Here is an 11,572-nt window from a genome sequence, read left to right as displayed (position 1 = left end):
CAGGTATGAAACAAACTTTGGGGAGTATTTAGTTCAAGCCCTTCAGGATCCAGATAAGAAAATAGAAACTGAGAGAGGAAAAGTGACTTGCTGGAAGTCACCTAGCAATGCCATGGCCCAAGGGGGAGGACCCACCCAAGTGGCAGAGCCATATGGGCAGAAGAACACTACCATGCCCATCAGCACACTTACCGTATGTCTGGAGTTTTTCAGTAAGTTTGTCTACATCAATGTGCAACTGGTTTTCTACAAAGTTTCTTACAAATTTGTTTCTCAGGGCCTCCTAAAGAAAAATAATATAGCTTAATAAAAATAATTGCATTATTTCGTATTATTGAATAATACTTATTAGACTTATTCAAAGTTTCATTACAAAGGAACAAGGCACATAAACTGAATCCACTTAAAAGAAGTTTTAAAACACCACAATAAATAACAGGATAATATCTTATTAGAAGCTTACCTTGAAAAACAAAATCAACAATTATGAAAATTTATGTTGTAGTTGTAATTATGTGTTAATACTAAAAACAAAGAATGAATTAAGTGGTTTGTTTTTGGCAAAATTTTCAAACGAACCTATATAATGAACCTTTCTATAAGATTCCTTTCCTTTGCATGGCCTTTCCCAGAGGCCAGTTGTAAACAGAGGGTCATTGTTATGAAAACTCTGAAGGAGGATTTCAGAATTTCCCAAACCCTCTCTCAATGTTTGGCTATTCATCTTCGGAAGCATCTTTCATTGCTTCATCTGTACCATTCTTCTCTCGTTATTATTGATGGTTGTGACTTTGCCTCATTTTTCAATGATTGGAGACAAATTGTTTACTGTGGAGAGTTCTCCAAGATTTTTTCATCAACTTCATGACATCTTGCCCCTTTATTTTGCCATTGATATCCATGTACTTGCATTGCACTGCCTGACACTTACAACATACAACAACCAACAAGAAGCTGAGAGGGAAAGATACTGATGTATCCAGGCTCTGCCTCAGGATCAATGACTGGGAATTAATTTTGGAATTTGCCAATTTCTTGGAGAATATTTGTACACTATCCAGATTTTGGTCCAGCACATAACCTAATAGCACAAGAGGTCCATATAGGAATTCTCAAGTAATATGTGCCCTTTGTAATTAGCTCTTTTATTTCTCACATTCACCTTATTACATGTGATAGTTTTAACTAATCTTGTCTAAGGATGACAAGGTTTTATTATGAAAGTTTGGTGTTTGCTTTTCTTTTTTGGAATCTTATTTATCTTCCTTCACTGGGCATTCGCTATTTGCCAGTCAATGTGCAGGGTAGTTATTATGCATCATGTCATTTAATCTCAACAACATCCCCAGGAGGGTACTGTTGTCTTTTACTGATGGAACAGGGAAGCAGAGCAAAGTTAGGGCTTTCCTCAGAGACTCTAACCACTCCATCTAGTGGCAGAACCAGGCCTGCAACATACACATCGACTACTACAAACCCAAGGTACTGCGAGTTCCCTTGAGCATGATCCCAAAGCTAAGAAATAGAGGAACAACTTACGCCGTCTTATCCTTTGGAAGATAAGTTCTTCAACTGGTTGAACATGTGACTGATTTCTGACATGGCTACTTAGTAAGTAGTACTCAGGTACACCATAGACTTCACAAGGAGCTGCCCTATTTTTGAGGCCGAGTTAGGCACTGTTTTATGTTCTCCTAGATATTTGTACATTCTCGACTTGGTGCTTATAATATTGCATGAGATTATATATAGTTGCAGCAGAGACCTTATCTAGTCTAAAATACTATCTGTCCCATTAACTGCAAAGGTTTGCTGATGTCTGTATTAACAAATTAATCCATACACAAACAAATTAAAGAAGATTACAATACTAGCTAATACATATGGCCATGGTCGCTGTGAGAATGAACATCGCAGACCTCCAACTGCAGGAAACGGAAATGGCAGGGCCCACTGCTGCACTCTGAATCCATGGCACTTTGCCCTGAGGCCACGCCTCCCATGGGCTGTCTCTCACCAATGACCACCACATCAGGCCCACTCCCAGGAGCCACAGGACTCCACTGACATGGGACCCCTACCTTGATAACTGACTTTAGCTCTGTGACTCCCTCTCGGCCTTATCTGATTTCCATTAAATTGCAGGGCCCACCAGGATGCTTCCACCCGACCCTCTCCCTCTCTCCTTTCCTCAGGGTCAGACTTGCATCACCACTGACAACCTTGCTTCCAACCTGTCTAGCTTCCTCTTCCTTTCCTCAGCAGCTATCTCCCAAAATAAAATTATTGCACATGTAATCCTGTCTTGGCATCTGCTTCTTGGAAAACTCAGACTCACACAGTAGCATTTTCTCTGTGTCAAAACCTATTCCAAGGGCTCCATGTATCCTGACCCATTTATACCTCATAACTACTATCGCTTCCTCATTTCTCAGGGAAGAAACTCAAGGTACAGAGAACTTCAGTGACTAGCCCAAGATCACACAACTGGTGGCAGGGGTTGAGCCGGGAATCAAACTCAAAGGATTCTAGCTCCTGAGTCCATACTCTGAACTACTTACCTGGTAAGTTAATAAAAAAACTAAACATGAATTAAAATGCAGGCATATTTTCTCATCCTATCAGAGTTAAGGTAAGTTGAAGCTACACAAATGCCCAAAAAATTATTAGGTGATCTACCTGAATTAAAGTTTTATATTAATGATTGTCAGACTCTAATGGAGTCAGGCCATTCTAAACTGTAAGTCGTTCCTTTTAAAAATATTAAGTTATCAATACAGAATATGCAGAAATGATCATTGATTGTTGAATAGACCTGCAATTCAAAAATATGCAAACAATCTAAAAAGCATTAAGCTTAATAAAGAATTTAAAGAAAAAGTTACTATTAAATTATTAATCATTCTCACAACGATACCATTTTGCATGGGTAAAATACTGAAAATTCACAAAAAGTTTTCACACATCTCTAGTTTTATGTCAATTATATGAGTCAACTAGAACCACTATGCCTGATGTGACTCTGTAGAATCTTCTACAGGGCAGCCCTGATGTCTCGGACATGCCCTAGCAGTAGCTCCCCATCCCTCGGTGGCAAAGACCAACCACTCACCTGCAGCTGGTTGAACATCTGGCCACTTCCACTTCTCTGGAAAAGGCTGGACATTTCCAGCAGTGTTTCTGATAAAGTTTTTAGTTTGTCCACAATATAAAAGGTGTAATTAGCCTGCAAAATGAAGCATATTTGGATATGTCTCTTATTCAGCTGTTATATTAAGATAAATCTTCCAACAAGGACTGTATATGATGTGGCCACCAGAGCAAAGATCTGCCTGCAGGCCAGCTAATGCCTTCCTCAATAACATGAAAAGTTCCAATGCTCTCACATCACAGGTGAGTCCTCTGAAACCTCTCTCCTTGACTCTGTCCATCCAGGGGCTACCTGCCTGTTCACTGCTGTCTCGCCAGTGTTAGAGTCACTGCTGGGTACAGCATATGTCCCCAGTATATACTGACCAAATTAATCAATGCTTGCCCACATTTCTTCCTCAAAGATACATTCTCAACTAATACTTACTTGTTTAATGGTACCCAACACTATTGAGGATAGAATAAAATTGGTATATTTTTTCATTTATTGCTACTGGCAGAGTACACTGGCATAAGACTTTTATAAAATAATTTGGTATCAGAAAAATGCAGTCACTGATCCATAACAAATGCACATGCTTTACTCTCTCAAGATAAAAGGACTCTATCCTAAGGAAATAGTTTAAATAAAATATAAAGTTATTTCCATGAAGATGTCTATTGCAATATTATTACATTTAATACTGAAAATAGTCTAAATGCCAAAGGGACAATGCTTAAGGAGGGTTTGAGAGTCTAACCACATCTCCCTAGGGTCACTAGGAGACCCTCACAATGGCACAGGAGCTGAAAAGCAGCCAGCACAGCAAACAGAGAAAAACCTTGAACTCTCAGCTTCAGTATTCAATAAAAATAGGGATAGAGGCCGGGCGTGCTGGCTCACGCCTGTAATCCCAGCACTCTGGGAGGCCAAGGCGGGTGGCTCATGAGGTCAGGAGATTGAGACCATCCTGGCTAACACAATGAAACCCCATCTCTACTAAAAAATACAAAAAATTAGCCGGGCACGGTGGCAGGCACCTGTAATCCCAGCTACTTGGGAGGCTGAGGCAGGAGAATGGCATGAACCCGGGAGGTGGAGCTTGCAGTGAGCCAAGATTGCACCACTGTGCTCCAACCTGGGCAACAGAGCAAGACTCCATCTCAAAAAAAAAAAAAAATAGGGATAGAGACTCTTGTAAGTATTAAGACAAATTAGTATTCCAATACCTTGGCACCAGGCCTGGCACATAGCAAATACTCAGTAAACGCCAGCTATACTAACCAAAAATGCATACAGATATGCAAAGGTTGAATAACATTATTAATGCAACACATGTAGAAGATCTGTAAAATCTTTAAAAACTGCAAATAGAGAATACACACACACACGTACACACACATTAAAATCCCCAGCCAAAATACCTCACATTTCTAACATTCTAGTAACAGAAGGCAGCCTAGCTGGGCTGCCTCTCTGGAGGGACCAGGAGTCCTTCCAACAAACCAAGCTGCCCCTGCAACACCAACAGGGGGATCAGCTCGGATGACACTGGTAATGAATAGCCAGGCAAATGGTTGTTCTTCCCCTGAGGGTAGAGGAACCACAACAAGCACCCAGGAGACAGGGCAAGGAGTATTCCACAATATCAAGTGACCTGGCCTGGAAACACTGGCTGCCCCACAGCAGGATGGCTCCTGATGCAACAAAGACCTGGGCTCCTAAGAAGTCCCCTTCTTCTCCAACTGCTGGAGGCTCCATCTCCCCAACATGGAGGCAGCTGGACTGGAGAAATCTCATCTGTCCTTTCATACTGCAGCATCAGGGAGTCCCAGATGCATCAGATAAACCAAAATTAAACTCTTATTGGAACCACAGCACACAAAGTGGGCCAAGATCTGTGTGTTAAGCCTAAGTAGAATGACTACCCACAAAAATAAAAGATTTTTACATAGGGCTCAAAGTCTCCTATTATATTGCTTAGAATACCCATGATACAATTGAAAACCACCCATTATAAAAATAACCAAAGAAAAGACAACTAGAATTAAGAAAAGCAATCAATTGATGCCAATATTGAGACACATCAGATATTGGAATAACCTGGCTAGTGTTTTAAAGCACCCATCATTTAAAAAATGCTTCAACAAGCAATTACAAATTGTCTTGAAGCAAACAAAATAGCAGAAAATCTCAATGAATAAAAAGAAATTATAAAAAAGAACCACATGGATTCTCCAGAAATGGACAATGCAATAACGCAAATACAAGAACTCACTAGATGGTCTCAGTAGAAGAATGGAGATGGCAGAGGAGAGAACCACTGAACCTGACAGCTGATCAATGTGTGGTACCCAATCTGTGCAACAGGGAGAAAGGAGATTGATAGGAAAGTGAACAGAGCCTCAAGTACCTATAGGACAATAATAAAAATTTTGATACTGGTGTCATTAGAGTCTCTGAAAGAGAGGAGAAACTGAGTGGAACTGAAAGAGTATGAGAGGAAACAATGGCTGAAAAACTTCCTAAAATTGTAGAAATACAAAAACCTACAGACTCAGGAAGCTTAGCAAACACTCAATATGATAAACTGAGAGAAATCTACATTAAACCACACCATAATTAAACTTCTAAAATCTGAACACAGTAAAAGCTTTAAAGCAGCCAGAGAACCATAACATGTTACCTCTAGGGAACACCCACTCAAAGGTTAGCAAATCTCTCATCTGAAACCCTGGGAGCCAGAAGAAAGTAGCCTAACATTTATCACGACGTAAGAAAAGAATTGTCATTGTGAATTCTGAATCTAATGTAAATATCTTTTAGGAATGAAGATAAAATAAAGACATTCTCAGATGAAGAAAAACTTTAAAAAATGAAAATATGAAACGGAATCTTGGAGCATTTGGAAGGAAGAAAAAAACAACAGAGCAGAAATGTGGGTGAATACAACAGACCATACTGTTTTCCATGAGTTTTATGAAATGTATTTGATGATTAAAACATAAATCATAACACCTTCTGATAGTCAAGATGATGATATTTAAAAGCAGAGAAGGTAAAGGGACCTAAGTCGAAGTGGATTTCCATACCTGGTTTGAAGTGGTAAAATCTCAATGCCAATGAACTGTGGTAAGCCACGTGTGTATGTCTGTATTGTAATATCTAGAGCCAGACGTTCTTTGTAAGAACATCATGCAAAAAGATACACTCAAAGACAGTATCAATAAATTATTTTTTAGAATGGGTATCCTAAAATCATGTCTTAGGGTGAGGATGCTCAACAATGTTTAAGTAATCCACAGGAAGGCAAGAAAAGAGAAACAGAAGACACAATAGCCAAAAGCTGGAAACAACCCAGATGTCCCACAATGTGTAAATGGTTAAAGAAACTGTGGACCATGCATACCAGGGAATGTTATTCAGCAATAAAAATGAATGAACTCCTGATATCTGCACAATATGGATACTACTCTAGGGAATTATGCTAAGTTTAAAAAGTCAATCCCAAATGGTTACATGCTGTATAATTCCATGTATACAACAATCTAGAAATGACAAAATTATAGAAATGAAGACCTGATTGGTGGCTGGCAGGGGTCAGGGACTTGCGGGGGAGTGGTGTAGGAATTAATGGCTGTGGTTATGAAAGGTAAAGCAAGAGACCCTGCTGTGATATGGTTGTTCTGCTTCAGTGCTGGCGATGAATACACAAACCTACACAGGTGCTAAGCCTGCATAAAACTAAATACACACACGCACACACACAGTAAAATGGGAAATTGGAAGACAAGTGAACTGTATCAATGGCAGAATACTGTTTGTGATACTGCATTATAGGTAGTGTCATGAGATGTTACCATTAGGAAACCCAGTGAAGGGTACACCGATCTTTCCATGTTTTTTCTTACAAATGCATGTAAATCTACAACTGCCTCCAAATTAAAAAGTTAATTTTTAAAAGAACATGGAATTCTAAATGAAGAGGTGCCCACTGACCACAGTTGGGATCATTTGAGCATCAAGAAAAATAAATAAAAACAGCAATGGACTGAAATACATTTAACACGTTTAAATCTATGAATTCATAATCATATTGTTTAATTAATCACCTTCAGAAGATTATAGGGAACTAATGAGGCTCAGAGCTGATAATCCCAACTAAAAGTGTGTCAGGATTTTCAGATATCCTGTGATTAAAGTCTTATTTCCATTTTATTTAATTAGGAGAAATGTCTTGGGCTTTGGTTTCATTTATACACCACCTACTAACTTTTAATTTTAGAAAATGATTTATTCCTCTCTTACTTGCAGCTATTCTTTCTTTTAAGATAGAGGAAAATATTAAAAGAATGTGACTAGGTCATAGCACAAGATATTAGCTCTGGGTTTATTTGTTCTGTTGTATTCATTATTTTTTGTTATATCAATTATTTTCTTAGTTATATCACCCTCTTCCCTCCTTATTCAGACCTTTTTCTTATTGCATCAAAGGGGAATGGGGCAGAGGAATTTGAAGATTTGAAAAGGAAACAAGTAGACATATTCAGAGTAGATAAAAGAAAAATATTTCTTTTTCACTTGGCCAAAATCAGGAAGGGAAAAACCCACGGATACAGCATCCCCCGATTCCCCTCAATGCACTTCATACTAATAAGAGCCTGCTTTCTCCCCATCTTGGATAAATGGATGAATGAATGGTTGGGAGGATAGATGAATAAATGGATTAATGTATAGATGGATGGATGGATGGATGGATGGATGGATGGATGGATGGATGTGTCAATGGATGAATAGATAAATGGATGAATGGATTGATGGATGAATGGATAGATAGATGAATCGATGGTTGAATGAATGAATAGATGGATGGATGGATGGACAGATAGATGAATGGATGGATGGATGGATGGATGAATAGATGCATGAATGAATGGATGGATGGATGGATGGATGTGTGGATGGATTTAAATGGATAAATGGATAGATGGATATATGGATGGATGGATGGATGGATGGATGGATGGATGGACGGATGGATGGACAAACAGATGAATGAATAGATGAATAGATGGGTGTGTGGATGGTTGAATAGATAAATGAATGGATGGATAGATAGATTTGGATGGATGGATGAATGGATGGATGGATGGGTGGATGGATGGATGGATGTGTGGATGACTGAATGGGTGTATGGGTAGATGGATGGATGAATGGATAGATGAATGGACAGATAGATGTGTGGATGGATGGATGAATGAATACATGGATGAATGGATGGATATGTGAATGGATGAATAGATAAATGGATGAATGGATTGATAGATTAATGGACGGATGGATGGACAGACAGAGAGATAAACAAATAGATGAATGGATGGATGGATGTGTGGATGGATAGATAAATTAATGGATGAATGGATGGATAGATGGATGGATGAATGGATGGATGGATGGATGGATGGATGGATGGATGGATGGATGGATAAATAGATCAATGGATGAATAGATAAATGGATGGATGGATAGATGAATGGATGCATAGATGGATAGATGGATGGATAGAAGGCTAGATGGATGGATGAATAGATGTGTGGATGAATGAATGGGTGGATAGGTGGGTGGATGGATGGATAGATGAATGAAGAGACAAATGTGTGGATGGATGGATGCATGGATAGATGGATGAATGAATAGATGTGTGGATGAATGAATGGGTGGATGGGTGGATAGACGGGTGGATGATTGCATAGATGAATGGACAGATAGATGTGTGGATGGATGGATGAATGGATGGATGGATGGTTGGATGGACAGATAAATGAATGATTTTATGGATAGATAAATGGATAGATGGATGCAAGAGTAGATGGATGGATGCATGGATGGATGGATGGATGGACAGATGGATGGATGTGTGGATGGATGAATAGATAAATGGATGGATGGATGGATGGACGGATGGGAGGAAAAGAGAAAGGCTGGTCTGTTGCCCCTGAAACAAAAGGGACTTGTGCCCTGACCTTCCCATACAGAGGACATGGCTAGACAGGGCATTTAGAGGGCACACAGCCAGCCCCCTAGGATGCTAACACTCAATTATAATGCCCTATGTCCTCAATATAGCACACAAATTCAATAGAACATGAAATAACTAGCTTAAAAGACTTCCTGGGATTTTATCTTGTATACACTTTTCGCACTGTACCAAATTCCAAGCCTTCAAAAGGGTTCTACTCTGTCCCCTAGAAGCCCAGTTTCAAATGCAGAAGAAGCATCGTTATTGGTTCTTCAATGTGGACCCCCTGAGTTTATCTATATGTTTACAAAAACAGATGCATTATGTTGGTATTCTGTTTTTCTTCACTCATACTATCCACGTTCTTTCTTTGCCTGAAATTCTCTTGAAGATCAGTCTGTATCTGATTCAATTAATTCTGTATTGATGTCCAGTCTCTGTTTCCCATCTCTACTGCTTACAAACAATGGCACAATAAATATCCTTGTTTGCATGTGCGAATAGCTGTCTTTGTAGTATTGATAGATATTCCCAACATGGCCTCAAAGACTTCACACGAATACACTCCCAACAGCAATGCATGAGAGTGACTCTCTCCTAATACCTCCAAACAACAAAATATATCAAATTGTGAGCCTTTAGCATTTTGATATGATATCTCATTTGTGGATATCTCATTTTGGGGATTTGCATTTCTCTTACTATTAAGTTTGAGCATCTTTTCATTTGTTTAAAATACATCTTGGGTTTTTTTATTATTTTTTGAACTATATGTTTATAATTTTTCCTCATGTTCTAATGTGCTATTTCACTAATAAATTAATTAAGATTATATCAAATAGACCACCATTTCCAAGCAGACAGGAAAACGAATGATGGAAAATTGCAGGTATCCAAGGTCAGTAAAAGAGCAACATCTATGCTCATCTGAGGGTTTGGATATTATCTAGTCTCACAGAAAAAGTACATTCACAGTTCTACTGATACTGCTGTCTTAGAGAACTGCTATTTTATAGGAGGTTATATCAAACAAGGCCACTTGTAAAATGTAATTACTTCTACTCTGGGCAACTTTGCTGAGTTTTGATAAAATGTTCCATATTGGCCACTTTCACCCATCTGAGAGCCTCACCAAACCACGGACAACTTGCTTTCCAATAACTGATTTGATGCCTACAGTCAGAAAGTGGATTGCAATGGATTTTGTTCTCTCTGTAGGGCTCCCTGGGAAAGACCTTGACCTGCCTAAAGGTCCCACCAGTGCCCTTCCCCATTGCTCTGCACATGTAAATAGCCCCACATATGTGCAGAGCCTGTGCACTTCCAGCCCGTACAAGTTTATGTAGACTCCAGGCTTGGGCAGCTTCCACTTCACTGGCATTTTTCACCTTTAATAATTATCATGGAACCAAGAATTTTTATTTCTATGGAAGTTAGTTATCAGGCTTTGTGTCCGTTTAATGACAACACTAGCAATAGCCTGTGCTTATTCTTCACTTTGCCTGATATTCTCCTGAAGATCAGTCTATATCTGATTCACCAAATTCTGTGTTGATGGCCAAGCTGTTTCCCATCTCTACTGCTTACAAACAAATAAATATCTTTAAACTGTATTACTTCATTCTCATCCTCCCAAAGGTGAAGGCAGTCAGGATTCTGGGGATGGGTGAAATGCCATGCATTGCTACACAAAGTTATTTTTTAAAATGAGGTAAATTAGGTACCCAGTATCCCAAACTGATGATAGTGAAAGAAGCTTTAGTATACAGGATCCTTATTATTTTATAACTAATACTGTAAATATGGCCAATGAAAATAAATTGGCTGCAGAGTCTGCCAAATTTGGATTCAAGCCATGAGCTTCTGTTTATCATCTAATAAACTTGGGAATATAAACATTCACAATTCTTACTACTTTTTTAATCTATAAAATGGATTTAACAATGTCTACTCCCTGGGGTTCTTGTGAGAAGTAAATGAGGGAGGACTTGGGAAAGCGTCTGATATGGTTTTGCTGTGTCCCCAACCAAATCTCATCTTGAATTGTACTTCCCATAATCCCCACCCAAATCTCATCTTGAATTGTACTTCCCCTAATCCCCACGTGTCATGAGAGGAACATGGTGGGAGGTAATTAAATAACGGGGGCAGTTTCCCCATGCTATTCTTGTGATAGTGAGTAAGTTCTTACGAAATCTGATGGTTTTATAAGGGACTTCTCCCTTTGTTCATTTCTCATTCTCTCCTGCTGCCCTGTGAAAAGGTACCTTCCAATATGATTGTAAGTTTCCTGAGGCCTCCCCAGCCATGTGAAACTGTGAGTCAATTAAACCTCTTTCCTTTATAAATTACCCAGTTTCCCATATTTCTTCATAGCAGTGTGAGGACGGACTAATACAGTGAACATGATGGTTCCTCTAACC

The 11,572-nt window shown here is 39.1% G+C and overlaps 1 protein-coding gene across 27 annotated transcripts in view; it reads right to left on the bottom strand.

Annotated features, from left to right (window-relative positions):
* The window catches only part of ABCA13 (ATP binding cassette subfamily A member 13), a 476,040-nt gene that overhangs the window by 308,850 nt on the left and 155,618 nt on the right, over positions 1–11,572 (bottom strand). For all 27 annotated transcript variants that reach the window (XR_926914.3, XR_926915.3, XR_926919.3 and 24 more), the window contains 2 exons: positions 3,113–3,226; positions 193–283 (listed from right to left, as the gene is read on the bottom strand). Coding sequence is in view for 24 of the 27 variants with exons in the window: in XM_011515130.3 (XP_011513432.1) it covers positions 193–283; positions 3,113–3,226 (205 nt within the window). In the remaining 3 variants the exon portion in view is untranslated. The remainder of the gene's footprint in view (positions 1–192; positions 284–3,112; positions 3,227–11,572) is intronic.

This window comes from Homo sapiens, chromosome 7 (assembly GCF_000001405.40).
Source record: "Homo sapiens chromosome 7, GRCh38.p14 Primary Assembly".
NCBI lineage: Eukaryota > Metazoa > Chordata > Mammalia > Primates > Hominidae > Homo > Homo sapiens.
Note: the sequence above shows the minus strand (reverse complement) of the source record. Positions and strands in the feature narration are given on the sequence as shown.